General features: G+C 45.8%; 1 protein-coding gene across 8 annotated transcripts in view, besides 1 other annotated feature; it reads right to left on the reverse strand.

Moving 5' to 3' along the window:
* Positions 1 to 19,896, reverse strand: part of PLXNA4 (plexin A4) — a 525,349-nt gene that overhangs the window by 155,257 nt on the left and 350,196 nt on the right. For all 8 annotated transcript variants that reach the window (XR_927546.3, NM_001393897.1, XM_017012779.1 and 5 more), the window contains one exon: positions 19,495 to 19,626. Coding sequence is in view for 7 of the 8 variants with exons in the window: in NM_001393897.1 (NP_001380826.1) it covers positions 19,495 to 19,626 (132 nt within the window). In the remaining variant the exon portion in view is untranslated. The remainder of the gene's footprint in view (positions 1 to 19,494; positions 19,627 to 19,896) is intronic.
* Positions 18,351 to 18,852: an enhancer, noted in NCBI's record as "OCT4 hESC enhancer chr7:131981706-131982207 (GRCh37/hg19 assembly coordinates)". NCBI's record gives its function as "activates a minimal SCP1, AML or CMV promoter by ChIP-STARR-seq in naive H9 embryonic stem cells {active_cell/tissue: H9 hESC(naive)}" and the evidence as "EXISTENCE:reporter gene assay evidence [ECO:0000049][PMID:30033119]".

Raw genomic sequence — 19,896 nt, forward strand, 5'->3', positions numbered from 1 at the left:
GGTTCTCAGGGCAGCGAAGGCCCTGGGACAGAGACTTGCCAGCGGCTGCATGGGGAGAATGGTTTGCAAGAAGCATATCTGCTGGCCACTATCAAGGGCATATCCACCCATGCTCAGCTCTTTAGAAAGATAGTAATTAGTTTTTTCCCCTTCGGTGCACACAGTGAATGCAGCAGAATCTGGTATTTGGAGAACCATTGGAGTCTGTCCCTCTCATCTTGATTTGCCTGAGGTTTATGTCTATAACTAAGAAATATCAAGATTGCAAGGCAGTTCAGGGGATGTGTTTAGCTCCCAAGGAGAGAAAAGAAACTTTCACACGTCAGGGCTTCAGGCAAGGAGAGGCCACTGCAAAGGGAGGTTGATCGTGACTCGGCTGGCTCTGTACCACATTGTGTCTCTTGCAAACTGCAGGTGGTGATAACAATGACTGAATAGTAAGCTCCCAGAGGGTATAGAGCTTGTCTTGTGCTCTCTGGATGTTCCAGCATGAAGACATATGCACAAAGTTACAGGGAAAAGATTTCTAGACCTACAGAGTCCATTGTGGTCATCTGGAAAGTGCTTCCTGACTGGTGAGTGGTGCACACTGTGATGGGCCAAGGTGTGCCATTGGGGCAGCTGGAAGATACCTTGTTCCCTCTGGTCATTAGAGGACTTCCATCACTTGGGCTAGACACACAAATACATTCATTTTCCATGTGTGCCTTAACATAGTGACAGGTTGGAAAGCATTGATCTGCTCTACACATGAGAAAATTAAGGCTGGGCATGGTGGCTCACACACTTTGGGATGCCAAGGTGGAAGGATCACTTGAGTTCAGGAGTTTGAGACCAGCCTGGGCAACATAGTGAGACCCTATTTCTACCAAAAATTTAAAACAAAAAATAGCCAGGCATGGTGGTATGCACCTGTAGTTCTCAGCTACTTGGCAGGCTGAGGTGGGAGGGTTGCTTGAGCCCGGTGGGGTTAAGGCTGCAGTGGGCCATGATCATACCATCGCACTCAGTCTGGGAGACAGAGTGAGACTCTGTCTCAGCGAAGAAAAAAAAGAGAGAAAATTGAGACTTGGAAGTCAAGGTCTCACAAGTCAAGAACTTGAATCCAGTTAGCTTTACTCTATGTTTAATACTTCACCTGCTACTCCACTGCCACCCACAGTAAACTGTCAACAAATAACTGTAGAAGGCAAGTTGTTGAGATAGAGAAATCACTTTAAAACTAGTGGACGGAGAGATGATGACATTAGCATGACTTGAGATGGGAGCCGGACGCCCAAAGCTGAAGTCAACATATTGCCAGTTTACACAAGGCATTCTTCCCTAGGTTAGTGACTTTCATTTTGACCATGACTCATGGCAAGAGATATGTTTTACATTGCAACTCAGGGCATACATACATGCCCATATATAGTTTCACAAATAGTAGTTATCCTTACTATGTTTGATGGCCACTATTCTATTCGACTTTATTCTATTCCATTAAAAACAAATTCTGGTCATGACCCTTTAAATTGATTTCATGACCCACTAAATTGATTTCTCGACCCACTAATGTGTCATGACCAGCAGTTTGAAAAACACTGGCTTGACCCTTTTCCAGCTCCCCCTCCCTCCTCAGAGGCTGGGAGAATGGAAGGTAAATGTGGAGAAAAAGAATGAGACAAGAGATCGAGAGATTGAGATAAAAATAAGGAAGAAGGTGGGAGAAACACAAAAAATAGTGGAAGGGATAAAGGAAAGAATGGAAATTAAATGAGAAGAAGGGAGAAATGAATGAAAAATGGGAGACATAATGAGAAAAGGCAAACCCTACACTGACAGATTCATATCCGTGAAAACTGCTCTCAAGCTCCATAGTCATTCTGGCCATATTTATACAAGAATCTTCCCTGCCAGCATTAATGGCCATAGCCTTGATAATGCTGTCTGCCTGTCTGGGGATTTCTTATCTGTCAGCACCATCTCAAATTCCTATAGTGACTCTCAGAGAGAATCTTCCATCTGTTCTTCAGGAAAAGAACAGAAAAGACTAGAAGGCATTGGGTAAATTACCAAGGAATAGAAAGTGACCACACCCACTTTACCCACTCCTTTGCACCGTGGGTTCTATAGACTTTGAGCTGAGTCTACACAACAAACTCTTGGTACAAAGGAAATTGTTTTAGAAGGTAACAGAAAAGTGAAATTCAGAGATTGAGGTAAAGTTAATTTATAAAGAAGCTGCAAGTTTACATACTCCAATAGCCAGAGGTCTCTAACTGATTTTGACTGCACACTTCATAGTAAAAAGTTCTTTGAGCATGCACCTACAATGCACATATATTTATTTATAAAAAATTTATTAATAAATAATATATATGTTCTGCTCATTAGCATCATAGCACTATCAAACCTTTAGAAAATTAGGAAATGAAGTGAGATAAAGATAAAATAGCATCTTGTATTTGATTTTACAAATGAGTGATACAAAACATTTTACTATCACCAAGAAAATTATTATAATGGTAAGAGTGATGTGCTAGAATTGGTTTTATTATTGTTTAATACATTTGTTTAGCACTTAGTGATACAAGGCTCTAAGGTCTAAGGTTCAATTTATTTCCATACTTTGTTTTAATGGCTGTCATAACTGAAAAGGACACCTCACATAGACGCAGAGATGCAAAAAAGTGCATTGTTGGCTGTGCTGAATAAATCAAGATTTTTTTTTTCAGTCTCATGCACCAATTATGTGAAGACTGTTGTTGAAATTCAGCTAGTAGATTTCCATCTTCTCTGATGTCAATCAGCTCTTGGAACTAATCGGAGGGTGCTGAATTTTTATATTTTTTAACAAAGGGGTCAAAATTCTCTGAAACTCTTCATTTGGAAGATTTTTAAGCAGGTAGAAGATTCTGTTTCCAAGTTTTAAAAGTTTTAAGATATGAATTTTTAAAGTGTCACATTTACTCATTATTGGCAACAAAATCACATAATGATGAAAATATTTCCAAACATCTTTTCTCTCCCCAAATGATCTCCTCATGCCATAAATCCTTCTGAAAGTACTTACTTTCTTACCCATTGTGAATGTATTACTTTTATATTGGAGGGAAAGATTAAGTGTTTATTTTTTCAAAGTTACCAGCAAAGTGGCATACTCTGACAGCTGCTTGTCAGAACTGAAAAGGTCAGCAAATGTGGAACATTTTGGTTCTTTTAAAAGAAAAATGATTAATTATGTTTCCATAAGCAGCAGACCTCTGTGTTGTACAAAAAATTTCCGTGGTCACTTGTACATCATTGCAAAGTATTATAAAGATTTTATTTAAAGGATTGTTTTTATAACATTGATAATATCTGTCACACATAAATTGCAAATTTGTTGTAGTATGTTGAAACTGACTCAGCCAGTGAGGATGCCAGTGTCAAGCCCTCCAAGATGTTGGGTTCCCAGCATCTCTGTGCCTCTCTAATGCATGAATGACTGATGCATAGACCAAGGGAGGCAGACACTAGCTAGTATCAACACTATATTAAACACAAGTAAAACCAGATTTCTTGTTTTAAATAAATTTTTTTTATTATTATACTTTAAGTTTTAGGGTACATGTGCACAATGTGCAGGTTAGTTACATATGTATACATGTGACATGCTGGTGTGCTGCACCCACTAACTCGTCATCTAGCATTAGGTATATCTCCCAATATAGGCCAGGTGCAATGGCTCACGCCTGCAATCCCAGCACTTTGGGAGACCAAGGCAGGTGGATCGCTTGAGCTCACGAGTTTGAGACCAGCCTGGGCAACATGGAGAAACCCCATCTCTACAAAAAATACAAAAATTAATTGGGCATGGTGATGCCCTGAGACTACCCTGCATGCCCTGATGCACACCTGCAGTCTCAGCTACTTGGGTGGCTGAGGTGGAAGGATGGCTTGAACCTGGGAGGCAGAAGTTGCAGTGAGCCACGATTGCACCACTGCACTCCAGGCTTATAGCCTGGGTGATAGAGCCAGACCTTGTCTCAGAAAAAAAAAAAAAAAAAAAAAAAAAAAAAAAAAAAAAAAAAAAAAAAAAAAGAAGCAGTAGTTCTAATAGTTTCTCCCCTTTCTTCATCGGAGAGTGTTCCTTCTTAGCAGCCCTTGGCATCAAAATGCATAACACTAAAGAGGCAAAAGGGAGCTCAGTGTTTTAGAGTTTGGTCTCTGGTATTCTGGAGCAAAACAGTAAATAAGTAGCCTCCCCTAGATTATTGTGAAGTTGGGGATATTGGGTCATCAGCATTCAACTTTATTTTATTTATTTATTTTTTGAGATAGGGTTTTGCTCTGTTACCTAGGCTGGAGTGCAGTGGCACCATCACAGCTCACTGCAGCCTCGATCTCCTGGGCTCAAGTGATCCTCCCACCTCAGCCCCCCCCAAGTAACTGGGACCTACAGGCGCTCACCACCATACCCAGCTAATTTTTGTAGAGACAGGATTTCACCACGTTGCCCAGGCTGGCCTTGAACTCTTGGGTTCAAGCAATTCACTGGCCTCGGCCTCCGAGAATGCTAGGATTACAGGCATGAGCCACCGTGCCCAGCTAGCATCCAACTTTAATTGTGGAAGACAGAGTAATAAATATTTGACAATAAACAATGGCTCCTAAATTAAGAACATCTGAGAAGATGCAAAGTGATACATGAATTCCTGTTGAGAACTATGTAACTGGCAGCAGTAGGAGGCAGACTTTTAATAATAGTAATAAAATGTGTGCCTTTTGGAAAAGAACAGTGAATTAGAGACTGAGAGCATGGACTAAGCTCAGAGGTGAGGAAAGCTTCGCAGACCTAGGATAGAGAGATACGATCCTGGGCATTTGTGTGAGCATGAGCAAGCCAAACATCAGTTAGTCTCAAAGGCAACAGCTGCCCGGACTTCAAGGGGTAACCCTGAGAATCTGATTGATGAAGAGAACACTCCTTTCCCCAAATCGCAAGAAGAACTCAGCCTGTGCTCATGACAGAACAGCACACACAAAAAAAGAGAAACTTGGGTCAGGCCTACAGCCAGAGAGACTAGCCAAGGAAAAGGTAGAGGAAACCAGGAGAGCTGGGAAAAGATAGTTAAGTCTTTCCCAGTGAAGGTTCCACAATGCACCAATCACTCTAGGTGCTCCTGGTAACATGAGTTCTGTGGCCAAATGACTTTGAGAGATACTACTTCCTACATTTGTCATCTCACTCATAGCTCAGAGATTCATAATACCCATTAGTATATTAAATGCACTATCAAATGCTATAGTCAAGATATCCACTTAACTCAAGGGCTGGATAGAGTGGCTCATGCCTGTAATCCCAGTGCTGTGGGAGGCCAAGGCAGGAGGATCACTTAAGCCCAGGAGGAGCCCAGCGTGTACAACACAGCAAGACCTCATCTCTACACAAAATTTTTAAAAATTTAGCTTAGAGAGAAAGGGCACCTGTAGCCCCAGCGACTCCAGAGGCTGAGGTGGGAGGATCATCTGAGCTTAGGACTTCAAGGTTACAGTGAGCTATGATGGCACCAGTGCACTCCAGCCTGGGTGGCAGAGTGAGACCCTATCTCTAAAAATCTTAATCTCTACATATCTATACATCTGCTCAACTCAGATTTGCTCAAACATATTTGACTAAAGAAAGCTTTTGTTTTAAAAAAAAGTCCTGCAGAATTTTTGTTCTAAGAAATAAAGTTTGGGAAATACTGGACTAACTAACTGATGCTTAAATCTGTACCAAGGCAAGGACCAGCAAGAGGTCTCCTACACGTGTCATGCTTCATGTGAATATCATTTGTCTCTTGAGACCCCCACACTTTAATGAGAGTGAACATTTATTTCCCAGCCTGTGGATTAAAAGGGGTTTTGAGGGAATAGAACTTTCTCCAGAGGGCCTTCCTCTCCTGCTGAAGGTGATCTCAGGTGTGAGTAGTGGCCCTAGCCAAAGGCCACGTCTCAGGGAAGGGGGTTGGGCACCTCTGTCCACTAGAACACCCAAGGGGCCTTGGAACCTGTGGACTCAGACTATGAGGCCAGAGCCAACCAGGAGTGGGGCCGATGGAGGCCTCCTGGTCTGCTCTCGGTCACTCTTGGCACCAAAAACACCTAATACGCTCCAGAGGATACATGAGTGAGTTTATGAATGATGGAAGAAAAATATTACAGGTGGATTTCTTTCTTTTCTTTTCTGAAACCTCCCCCTTCCAGGTTCAAGCAATTCTCCTGCCTCAGCCTCCCAAGCAGCTGGGACTACAGGCATACACCACCACGCCTGGCTAATTTTTGAATTTTTAGTAGAGATGGAGTTTCACCATGTTGGCCAGGCTAGTCTCAAACTCCTGACCTCAGATGATCTGCCCACCTCAGCCTCCCAAAGTGCTGGGATTATAGGTGTGAGCCACCACACCTGGCATAGGTGGATTTTTTTTCAATAAAACATAGACATTCTTATAACAATCACCAGCATACTGAAAATCATAGAGATGAAAGCTAAGCCTCATTGAGTTGTCATTATGTGCCAGGCAATGAGCTAAGAATTTTATGTGCACTTTCTTATTTATTCATTATAACCACCCAGCCAATGGGCACTAGGATATTCCCATTTTGTCGATGAAGAAACGGAAATACGCAGAGATTAAATAACTTGTCCAAAGTCAAGTGGCAGAGCCAGAATCCGGAAGCAGAGCTGTGATTCTAGCCCTGAACCACCTTCAAGCCACCCAGCTTGCAACTGGATAGCCTTCTGCACCAGCTGGAATCCTTTTGGAGAAGGATATATTCTCTACCTGTTCCTCCACCTCTTCATTGTTTTTCTGGACTTTGTCTAAATAAGTATTCAGATAATCTCCCCTTAGCCATTGTGCATCCCTTCAAAACCATCGCATACGTCTCTGAGTCAGTTTCAAATTGATGTCTCCATTGTCTGCTTGTAATATCTGAAATGCACTTGAAAGACTCATATGAGATATGTAAATAAATGCCATTTGTAATTTACCCTTTTATACCTATATTGCATTTAGTAAAGTCACATGACATCATTAATGCTAACTAGTCATCGTGAACAAGGGCATAAATTAATGTGCATCAATTTACTTTTGAAAACGTCCCATTGATATTCAAACGGAGTGTAAAATGTACTTAAGTATCAACATTTCTGGTCTGTTTTCCACAGAACTCAAGAGCAAGTCAATCAGTGCTCATGGAATTTAACTATTTCCATTAGGATACCATCCCTAGGGGACAGGGGAGTGGGTTGGAACAGTGTGAGTCAACTTCTACCAACACCTGGCCTGTTGAGAGGGGTGAGGTGGTCAAGGCCCACCCACCACCCCCACCCACAAATGAGGATCAGTGGTAGTCTTAAGAAAGAGCCCAAAGACTCCAGCCTCCAGACCAGAGTCCTTGTAATGACCTCACTCAAAAGCGTAAGGAGAATGTGCCCTTCAAACTGACATCTTTTTCTTCCCTGATCCCTAACTCCATGAGAAAGTTGGGTTTCTGGAGCAATTCCCACAGCAGGACCACACTCTTTTCAACACCCTTCAAGCTGGAGTTTGCTCTCACTTTACCACTGCAGAGCTTCCAGAACAAGGCCTTCCCTCGGCCCTTCTCTGATTGTGTACAGGGACTGGCTCTGTGTGGGGCATGCAGTGGGCGCTTACTAAACAGACATGGTGGGACAGGAGCTGGAAGCTAGCAGAGAAGCAGCCCTGGCCCTGTCTGTCCACCCTGTGGAGTCTCCTCATGTGCTGCTAAGTGGATGATTATAGGTGGTTGTCTTTAAAAATGGCACTTAGAGTGCCCCGAAAGTAACAGGACACCGGCGCTAAGTTAGGAGAAGGCGCAATAATTGTCAGGACAATTGCCAGAGACAGATGCTTAATGGAGTTCAGGATTAGAGACCTGCCAGCGCTTTCCTTAACTACTGGCCCTTGGGTTTCCTCAGCTTTTCTCCTGCTCCACATCCTCCCTCACCCACCCCTGCTCTACCTCCACATCATAGCTCTTCTTCTCTATTCTGGGGCAGAGAGAAGGAAAATGAGCCAGTTTTCCCTCTGCTCTAGAAGTCCTGGAAGATGAGGGACCAAAAGTTTCTTCAGCTACCCAATCTGTGATAACTTCATATATCCAATGAGGTTGGACTCAAATGGATTCAGACTCCTTCCCTGGAGTGGAAGCAGAGTTACAGAGAAAAATCCAGAGACAACATAGCTCTCTCTGATTAGGGTGGGAGACCACAGCCTCCTGGGCCCTCCATCCCCTGGAAGGCAGTGCTCCTTACTATGAAGGGAGTCTCTGCCTGAGTACTTTCTAGAGGCTTTGAGATGATAGATAGGGGAAGCACAGAATCCTGGGTAGCTGGTGCCTGGAGCTCAACTGGCCTTTAGCCACCAAGCAGTGGTTTGTCCAGGCTTCCCTGCCCCTAACAACGTTTTTGTTTGTTTGTTTTGGACATAGAGTCTCACTCTGTCACCTAAGCCGGGGTGAAGTGGCATGATCTCGGCTCACTGCAACCTCTGCCGCCTGGGTTCAAGTGATGCTCATGCCTCAGCCTTCCAGGTAGCTGAGACTATAGGCACGCACAATAAGGCCTGGCTAACTTTTTGTATTTTTAGTAAAGATGGGGTTTCACCGTGTTGTCCAGGCTGTTCTCGAACTCCTGAGCTCAGGCAATCTGCCCGCCTTGGTCTCCCAAAGTGCTAGGATTAACAATACATTTTCTAATTGTAATAAGAATAATGATAATGATGACAGCAACCACAACTTACTAAAAGCCTACTACGTGCTAGGCACTTTACATATATTAACTTCAATCCTAAAAGTGCTGAAAGAGAGTTATCATCACTTTAATTTTCTACATAAAAAACCAAAGCATGAACTGCTTGAGTGAGTTGCTCCAGGTGGCACAGCTGGTGAGTACTAAGGACGGGTATGAAAAGCCAAGTCCGTGATCTGTTCATGACCCCCCCCGGAGCCTCCATCCTGCACATGCTTATACTTTCTGGTCACCCCCATGGTCTGTCTGAGAGATGCCAGGCCACTGTGGTGATCATACTCAGATGTCAGAGACTTTTGCCTACACCAGTGACCATGTAGAAACACGTCAGTCAGAAAAAAACAGTGGGGGTGGTGGGCTGCTACCCTGCCTACTCCCTCTGTGAGGTGAGGCTGGTGCCACCCAGGGCTCCATGTACCCCGGGATGCCCTAGAGGTTGCAAAGGGGCACTTGTCCCACCTTGTGTCAGGCTACAACAAAGGAGAAGTAAACCAAGGGACCTCCTTCATGGGGCCGAGGCTGGTTCTGAGTTCTGATCACATCTGCACTGCTCCACCACCCCATCCCCAGAGACTCCTTCTGCCTTCTATGGCTGGTTCTGACACCCAAGAGTGGGGCGTACCACTTTTTACTGGAAAGTCAAGATGATGGATAGTATCTCTTGCTCTCACAGAGGGCTCCCCATTCCTCGTTGGAGGAGGGGGCTGGGAAAGGCATTGCAGAAGGAGCTGAGCCCTATATTCAAGCTCAGCTCCTCCCCCAAACTGCTGGTGACTCTGGATGACCTGCTCCCTCCTCTGTGCTTCAGTTTCCACACTGATCACAAAGTGCAGTAGGAGCGTGTTGCGCCAGATAAGCCAGTAGCGTTTTCCAGGCCTAAGGTTTTAGGGTACAGTGGACAATTCAGCACCTACTGACTGTAGGAAACTAGGGAGGGAAGTCACTTCCCCTCTGGTTCCTCCAGTTCTGCCGTGGTAAAATGCAGACATCCTGCCTTGATTGAGAATGAAGTGGGAAGTGGGAATATCTCAGTAATGACATTCTGGAACCTTCAGAATCTGTTCCAGACAAATGGGAAGGCTCCCACCTGAGTGAAATTGGGTGAAACATTGAGACAGCTTTTCTGTTTTTGTGAATGTCTGAGGTGGCTCCATTTCCTGTCACTCATTCCTCAGCCCTGTGCTTCAAGTTTGCTCTCCCAGGAGCTATCAGACATAGGCCAGCCTGGGTGCCAGGAGCAAACATCCACGTGGGCTTGTCACCGTGTCAGCCATCCAAACACTAACTGGAGTGTACAGCTCGGCCCCCACAGGGGCAGAGAGGATGGCAGAGAGACGGTTGCATCACCATCCAGTGCACCTTACATGAGACATGCCCACAGACACAGTGCTGAGGGCAGGACTCATTTTCACAGGAGCCCAGCACCTTTGGCTGCAGACAGTATCTCCACAACAGCCTCTTCTATCAAATCAATGTCTATAGACCTCCAAGACTGTCAGACTTCACATCACCTTCCTCAGAACATCCTGGGAGGCAGGGTGGAGACAGGGACAGACACTGAGGTGCAAAGAAATGGTAATGACTCCTTCATCACACAGGGGGTCCCTGGTGGAGGCAACATCCACTTAGGGGTCCCAAGCCTCAAGCGATGCTGCCTTCTTAGACCATGATACTACCTCCCCGTTGAACTATAGCTCCTTCTGAAGCTCTCAGCATGGTAAAAAACAATCACGATGCCTCCTCTCACCTCTTCCCTCCAGAGAGGCTGGCTTCACTATCTTTCAATTTCACAACCCCAAACAAAGAACTTGCAAATAAATAGAAGAAGGAAAGGGACAGGACAACATGGACAGGCCTCCCCTTCTCCTCTTGTATGCCCATCTGACCACTCTCTTTTAAAATGCAACCCTTTCACCCTCACAAGGATCCTGACTCCACTTAATCCACTTGATTTCCTTTTTCTGGAGTGTTTATCACCTGCTAACCTAGTCTCTGATTTATTTCTTAGGTTGGTTCCTTCTTTGCTGCTTCCTTTTGCTAAAAGCATAGGGATATGTCACTGTTTCTTCATGGTTGTATTCCCAATGCCTTGACTGGTGCTTGGCACATAGTAGGAGGGAGCTTAGGGAATGCATCTTTTAAAAAAATTTATTTTTATTTATTTTTTTTTTAGAGAAGTCATCTCCCTCTGTTGCCCAGGCTGGAGTACAGTGGCATGACCACGGCTCATTGCAGCCTCAACCTCCTAGATTCAAATAATCCCTCTGCCTCAGCCTCCTGAGTAGCTGGGACTACAGGTGCACACCACCACACCTGGATAATTTTTAAATTTTTTGTAGAGATGGGATTTTGCCATATTGCCCAGGCTGGTCTCAAACTCCTGCCCTCAACCAATTCTTCTACCTTGGCCTCTCAAAGTGCTGGGATTATAGGTATGAGCCACAGTGCCCAGCTAATTAATTTTTTTTTTTTTTAGAGATAGGGTCTCTCTATGTTGCCCAGGTTGATCTCTGTTTCCTAAACGAATGAATGAATCAGGCCTGAGTAATATGCTATAAAGCAAGGTGGCCCTCGCCACTTCACTACTGGTTTACGCTGGAAGGAGCCAGGCAAGGCTGCTATCCTGGGCAATGCCTATGGGCAGGGAACTCACCTCCAGGCCCACCTCCTCAGGCCCCACAGGCGTCCGCATCCTGCTTTATAGCAAGGACTTGAGCACCGGCAGCTCAGAAGGACAGGCTGCAGGAGTCCCCCAGCACCTGGAAGCAGACCCACTGTGAACAGGAGTCAGTAAAACAAAGGACACCATAAAAGATGGCTTTGGTCCAAACATCGCTGAAACAGATCCCCAAAGCAGAAATGTGTGTTTGAGGCTTCTGGCTTCCAGGAAGGAAAGGGCTGGTGTGTGGAGAGGCAGATACATTGAAATTCACTGAGAAATCTGCCACTTCCTCTGGGTCTATCAAAGAAGATACTCGCCTTGTCTGGGGGACAGCTGCTTCTCCCCTGGTAGGGGTCACTCCAGGGCACCCAAGAACAAGGATGGTCCCAGCTCTGCCACCTCATCTTCTCATTTATCTGCCTCACTGACATTTCCCCTCACCTCCTTCCCATTGGCTTGGCAGGTTTTTATCACACTGGTTTCAGTGTGTATAGACATTCCCTTGGGGTTACTGGAATTTTAGTAAATACACACCACACTCATATACATGCATACACATACAAAGCAAGAAGGAGGCTAACAGAGACACACAGACAGGGATAGACACAGGGGAAGGGGTGGGTGTGCATGTGCACACACAGCTGAGAGATATCCAGAATCATGCAGAAGAAAGAAAAGAGACAGAGAGAAACGTAACACGGCTCTGAAAGAGACAGTTAAATCATGACAAAATGACACTGACACTTAACAGTGCACACTCGTACACTCCAAGCAGAAGTGTACCCGGAACATGGCATTTGCTGCAAGAGCTCACAGAGGGACCCACACGTCCATGATAAGAGAAACCATATCCAGGCTACAGAACTACGTAATTTGCAAATAATCTAATAGCTAACGTTTGCTGAATGTTCTTTCTGAGCTAAGCTCTTTTACATGGAATATCTCATTGAATCCTCACTCACTCCAGGAGATCAATACTGTTTACTAAATCCCCATTTCACAGGTGCACACGGAGGCTGGGGTGATCTGAGCTGGCCTCTGTCTTCAGCTGTCTCACTCACCACTTTCCCCCTTCTCCCCTCCTGGCAGCCCGTCCGGTGTCCTCAAAAACACATGTCACATGCCGTCTCTGGCCTCTGTGCTTGCTGTTCCCTCCACCTGGACCACTTCTCCCCAGACGGTCCTCTCGCACCACTTCACTCTCTTCTGCTTTTTGCTCAAAAGTTCCCTCCTTGGAGAATTTCCCTTGCAACCATCTTTAAAAGAGCACTCCCCTCCACTCTTCTGGCCATCACCTTATTTCTCCTGAGTCGGTTTAATTTTTCACTCTGTTCACTATTACCTGATCTAAGCCATTCACTCATTCTCTCATTCGCTGTCTCTCTGCCCAGAATGTAAGGCCTATAAGGATAAGGACTTTGCTTGTATTGTTCCCCATGGAATTCCTGGTATCCTAGAAGAATGCTTGGCTCAGAGCAGGTGCTCAGTAAACATTTGTTGAATATTGAATGAATAAGGTGCTGAGGGAATGGGTGACAGAGCCAGAAAATATGTAGCATTTGTGTGCAGATATGCACATGTGTACACACACACACACTCCATTCTCTACCTCCATTAGTCATATAATCCTTACCCTGCATGTCGAGAGCTGGCCATCCATTCATCCTCTCTACCATGCATTCATCCTACCACATGCCAAGAGCTGGCCTATTTCAGCATATGGAATGAGGAACACTGGAACCCAAGGAGAGTTTATTTATTTATTTATTTTTTGAGTCAGAGTCTCACTAGTCACATAGGCTGGAGTGCAGTGGCATGATCTAAGTTCACTGCAACCTCCGCCTCCCAGGTTGAAGCGATTCTCCTGCCTCAGCCTCCCGAGTGGTTGGGATTACAGGTGCATGCCACCAGGCTCAGCTAATGTTTTGTCTTTTTAGTAGAGATGGGTTTCTCCATGTTGGCCAGGCTGGTCTCGAACTCCTGACCTCAGGTGACCTGCCCTCCTCAGCCTCCCAAAATGCTGGGATTGCAGGCGTGAGCCCCCACACTCAGCCCCCAGGAAAGTTTCAAACAGCAGTGGGGAGTCAAAGTTAGTTGATCTCTCTGGATACTTCTTTAACTATGGATTCATTAACTGTTTCACGACTACTAAAATATGACGCAAAATATTTCCCCTGACTGTCAAATGCCTCTTTCCTGCACTCTGTGTCCCCCAGTGTGGTATCAGGTAAATCAGAGGGAGGCTGGAGGTGGCAGAGAGCAGCATCTCCATCCACAAAGAAACTAGGGACAAGAAGGGATGAAAGAGTGTTTAGAAGAGAGAGCAGCCCCTGCCCACCAAATGGTAAAGAGGAACATTCCTCAGGGGCAGAGGTAACACCCTAGATAGAGCTTGCCGGGTTGCTGACGAATCAAAGTTATCTGGTTCTTAATAAAACTCAGAATCCTGCCATCTCTATTTAAGTCTTCAGGCGTCATCTCCAGGCAGGAGGTCCCAGTCTCACCAAAATCAGAGTGCTCTCAAAGAAGGGCTGCTCTTCATCACAAACAGATGAAGTCCAAAGCTCATTCACTCATATTAACTCTATAAGAATATACCTGGCCCTTTCTCTGGGTGAGGTCTTCCTCTACCTGCTAGACACAAGAGAGACAAGGTCCCTGCCCTCCAGGAACTTATATGCTAATTCATAGGGATGGGAAATAAACAGGTAATTTTCATACTGTGGTGGGCAGCAGAAGGGAGTAAACAAAAAGACTTAATAGGAAGAAGTCAAGATTCCAGGGTGAGGGATATTTATGTAGGGTGGCCAGCGGAGGCCTCTCTGAGGACACGATATTTGAGCAAAAACCACAGGCATGAGGAGGGACCAGCCACAGGAAAAGCCAGAGAGTTTTCACAGCAGAGGAAACAGTAAGCGTGCAAGTTCTGCAGCAGGAAGGAGCTGGGCTCAGGGACAGAACAAAGGCCTGTTTGCTGGTACACGGAGAGCCAGGGTCCAGGGTCACAAAATGAGCTTGCAGAGGTGGAGATGAGTCACAGGATGGGGCCAAGGGACCATGCCAGGAGCTTGGGCCTTATGCCAAGAATGATGAGATGCCCCTGATGGTAGGAGGGGTCCATGAACACCCATTCTGTTAACTTGGAAAGTGCTCACAAGCCTCCCGATTCAGTTGCTCATCTCTTCGCCTGTTGTATTAGCTTGTTTTCATGCTGCTGAAAAAAACATACCTGAGACTGGGTAATTTACAAAGAAAAAGAGGTTTAATGGACTCAGAGTTTCATGTGGCTGGGGAGGCCTCACAATCACATCTTACATGGCGGCAGGGAAGACAGAATGAGAGCCAAGCAAATATAAAACCACCGGATCTTGTGAGACTTATTCACTACATGAGAACAGCATGGGGGAAACCACCCCCAGGATTCAATTATCTTTCACCAGGTCCCTTCCACAACACATGGGAATTATGGGAGCTACAATGCAAGATGAGATTTAGGTGGGGACACAGCCAAACCATATCACCTGTCATTGTATTGAACACAACACCAGGACAAAAAGGTTGTTTAGGCCACTGCCCTGCTGCAGATACCAAACAGATCAGAGAAGAGAGAGGCTGGTATGTAAGAATGGACAGCATAAAGCACACATTTTCTACCACCAGTTTTTTTACACAGTGATCCCTGTTAGAAAATGTGTCCTTCAATCCCATATAAGCCTCCTGGATTATCATCCAGATTGCCACTCTCACATATGTTTAGGATGCCCTTCCACTAAGATCTGGGAATACAGGTGCTAGTATGTTTCATGTTAGATTTTAGTCTTCAGTTATAGGAGCAACCAGAGCACCAAAATTGAAACCACAGCTCTCTTGAGCCCAGATCCATTTAGTCACCCATTCCACAAATGTGATTTGAGTGTTTATTAGGTGTCAGTGCTGTTCTAGGGGTAACACACAAGTAAACTAAAGAGACTAAAAAACAAAAAATCATATTCTTATGGAGTTTACATTTTAAATGAGGAAGACATATAATACAGAACAATTATTAAGAATCATATAGCAAATAAGAAGAGACTAAGTGCTATGGATAAAAATAGAGCCAGGAGAGGAGATTGGGAGTTTATGAGTCTGAGTGGAAGGCAATCTAGAGTTTTACCTGTGGTACTCAGGGGACGCAGATACCTGGATAGAATTCCAGGCAAAGGGGAACAACCAGGACAAAGATCCTGAAGCAGGAGCCTGCCATATTGCAGGAGCATCACAGAGGACATTTCTGTGTCCAGAGCACTCTCTCCCGCCCTGGCCCTGCAGACTAGGGGAGCAGGGAGAGCGGGGAGAGCGGCAGGTGATGAGCTTGGACATCTCATGAGGACAGAGCATATAAGGCCCTGTGGGTCTTCATAGGCACTTTGGTCATTGAAAGGATTTAAACGGAGGAATGACACTATCTAACTCAAACTTTTGAAGATTAACTGCTGCATGGAGAAAAGACTGGAAAGACAAAGGTGGAAACAGAGAGAGTAGTTGGAGGGCTATTGCAAATATTCAGGCAAGAGACCATGGGGGTTCAATCCAGGTGGGTAACAATGAAGTGGTGGGAAATAGCCATATTCTGGAAACATTTTGTAGAGTCCGTAGAATTATGGGAGCTACAACTCAAGATGAGATTTGGGTGGGACACAGCAAAACCATATCAAGGTGTTTATGTTAAAATGAGGCTGATAGAGAGAGGCCCTAATCCAATTTGACTGGTGCTCTTAGAAGAAGAGGCGAGTAGGACACATAGAGAAACACCAGGGCTGTGCACACAGAGGAAAGGCTATGTGAGGACACAGTGAGAAGGTGGCCATCTGCAAGCCAGGGAGAGAGGCCTCAGAAAAAACCAGCCCTGCTGACACTGTGATCCTGGACTTCCAACATCCAAAGCTATGAGAAAACAAATTTCTGTTGTTTAAGCTCCCCAGTCTGTGCTATTTTGTTATGGCAGCCCTAGCCAATGAATATAAGTGGTAGATTACTGACATGCAGGAAGTGCTTCCCTTATCTGACTTAAGTTTGAACTTTGTAATAAACTGAAGCAATAGGTTATTTGTGTTGGTACCTCTCTTTTCCAATTCTGGTTCAATGAGGGCACTGGGGACTCATTCATTAAAAAATTAAGAGGGGCCTATTAGGTGAAGTTTAGGCTGGCAAGGCATCGGATGCTCTCAAGCTGCTGGCAGCAAGAGAGACAAGGAAGTCATAATCACAGCCTGGTCTGACAAGAGCTACTATAGACATGTCTAACTGCAGGCCAGGAATAGTCCAATGAAGAATGTGACAGCCGAGCTAAGTTTTGAAGGACAAGGAAAAATTAGTCACATAAGAAAGGAAAGTGCTTTCCAGGCTGCACTGACATCATGGCTAAGCTATGCCCTTAGCCTGCAGACACAGTGTGCAACGTGTTCTGACCCATCATGGCTGAGGGAGACCCACCACCTGAAGGAGGCTGGAATTAGTCTTGATACCCTGGGTCTGGAAAATACCCAGGTATATTTATCAAGCTGCTTTGCCCTGAGCTCTATTCCGCATGCCCAACCTGTCAAGCAGGCCTGGGTTCCTGATGCGCTCTCCCCCGGGACTGGATTTTTGCTCCCTGCCTCCCTTGGCCTCACCTGGGCTGCTGTGCTCCAACCCAGATGGACCATCTAGAATCTCAATACCAGCCCCTGCCTGACTCTAAGCACGGCCAGTGTCTGGAAACTCCTGTCACAGAGTCATAAAAAACAAGAGTCTCTCCATTTAACAAGCACTTACTCTGTGCCAGCCATGGTTCTAAGCTTATTATATGCCTATCTCATTCAATTCTTGGAAAAAAACTATCTGATATTATTGTCACCAACATAGGACAGTAAAGAATGCTGAATCTTAAGGTTAGGAACTTACCAGAGACTACATTTAGTAAATGAGATTTAAGATTCCCACTCAGACATTTCAATGGCAACACCTGTGGACTTAATCATTGCACTGTTCTACAAATCTCCACCAAGAATCCACAAGCCCAGTGGAGACCAGTGTCGGCCCAGGTGTTAGGCCTTTGAGATGGTCATTTGGGTGGCAGGCCAGTCTCCACATCTGTGTGGAGCAGCCCTGGAATGGATGAACACCCTGGCTCTATTCATTCCTGCCTTCCTTTCCAATGTGCCCATAATATGGAGTTCTCAGGATGCCTCATTGCCAAGCCTGAATGGACAGTGACCACATTACCCATCCAAGGGGAAACAGCTGAGGACAAAGAGGTGAACAAGGATTCAGATGGGCACCTCCAGGGAAGGAGTAATGCTCAGAATGCTGACTCAGTTCTCAAAGGGGGCTGATAACTCATATTACCAGCTTATACTTTGTTTTTTTGTTTTTAATTTCTCTTTTTTTTTTTTTAGAGACAAAGTCTTGCTATGTTGCCCAGGCTGGCCTTGAACTCCTGGCCTTTCGGTAATCCTCCTGCCTTGGCCTCCCGAGCAGCTGGGATTATAGGTGCAAGACCCTGCACCTGGCTCCGTTTATATTTTCCGTCTTTGAAAGTCCTCTTATGTTTTAAGTCCCAGGTTCAGAAATGCTGGCTTTCAGATCAGGCAAGAAATCTTGAATATTCAATGCCTTGTGAAGATCTTCTCCAGATGATTCATGCCACCAAGGAAAGCTGCTTCCCCTCAGCTCCTAGGGCCTCAGAGGTGGGCTTGGAGTGGGGAGTGTGGAAGCTGTTATAAAAGCAAGGAATGCAGACAAATGGGAAGCCTCGTGCCCAGCTGCAGGCTCCATCTCGGTAGTCTCCCCTCCCAGGAAAAAATACTCCATTTTCCACCCTACCTTGGGAATGAGACCATTCCCAAGCCATGGCAGCCTCATCCAGGGCACAGTGGGTCCCAGTATGGCTGAAGTCGGGAGAACGGGGAGTCTGACAACAGGAGAAGATGTCATCGAGCTCTTGGGGAGGGCAGAGCTCCTGTGACTGTTAAGGCATAATGCACAAGCCCCGTGGGTGGCATAATGTGGAATTCATCTCCCCCACAATGCCAAGAGGGTCCAGGCAGAACAATCCAGACTCTGTCAGCAGGGTCCTCCAGAGAGTTCAGGCCACGCTGACGAGGATGAAAAAGAGGGGAGATCTGCCCCTCATGGCCGCTGCTGCCACTCAGAGCTAACGCATACATATTCATGGGATAGAGGGGCAGCTCCCGAGAATGACCCATCCTCCACAGAGGCCACAGGGCAGAGGTACAGCAGTGCTGCACCTCACTTGGGGTGGGCTGTGTGTTGTGGGGTGGAGGACTCCAGGAAATACCCTTAAATACATGGATGTCCAAGGTGAAACCCCTTCCTTTGCCTGCTGCAGACATATGACTCCTGGCCTGAGCTCAGGGACTCCAGAAAAACTCACTTCGTTCTCAGCTCAGTTTGAGAACCAAGCCCAGGTTTTCTACTTCCTACTCAGCATCAGCAAACCTGCACCATATCTGTTCTTCTCGGGTGGGCTCCATGGCATTTGCTGGAGTTTCCACAAAGAGTTGTATGTACACACAAAAGTTCAGGCCGTGCCCTACCCCATCACATCTCATCACACAGACTGTTTTCTGAGTCCTGACCATGGTGTTCCCTTAACTACACTCTTTTGGCAATAAATTCTTGATCCCACAGGCTTCTGGGGGCCAGGAAGGTGACTTTGGTATGAGGTAGCATTTTGTATAGGGAAATCTGGACCCACAATTTGGGCATCTGTACGACGTTCCTTCAGAAGAAAGCAAATGTTGGCCCCGAACATATATGCATGATTTTGAAATTAGTGGATTTGTTTTAGACTCTCCAATATTTTGATATTTTAAATGTTTCTTTCCTGTTTCAGAACACCAAGCCTCAGTCCCCAGGCAGCATAACTGAAAAGTATAACTGAAAAGATACATACTACGCCAAATAAATCAAATCACCTCTCTGCAGCTGGCCTCCTAAGGTTTGTACTGAGCCACAGGCTAGTATTTAACTGCAAGACAAATGTCTAGCGGAGCCCGAAGAGCCTTACCTGCCTCTCTGACATGATGTAGAGTTGCTCGTGGTCCTTGGAGAAGGCCATATCCCGGAGGACTGGGCCGGGGTCCACCACCTGCACCGTCTCATACTGGAGGGCGTTGCCCCTGGGTCCATCCACCCGGATCTGTGGAGAAGAAGAGGAGAGCCAAAGTGAGTTCAGATCCTGCACTGCCCACAGCCAAACTTCAGCCAAAGACCCTGTCAACAGCCAAGGGAGAGGGCATGAGTTCTGTCTCCACAGTGCTCACAGGCTAAAGCCAAGGAGTGGAGTGACATAAGCTCACCAAGGGCCTCAGGATGGGAGTGGCAGAGAGGGAAGTGGGGGACCAAGCTGGGCTTCACCAAGAATCCAGTCTTAATCTCCCTGGTTCCCTATGCCTCAGGCTCAAGCATT

This window comes from Homo sapiens, chromosome 7 (assembly GCF_000001405.40).
Source record: "Homo sapiens chromosome 7, GRCh38.p14 Primary Assembly".
Taxonomy (NCBI): Eukaryota; Metazoa; Chordata; class Mammalia; order Primates; family Hominidae; genus Homo; species Homo sapiens.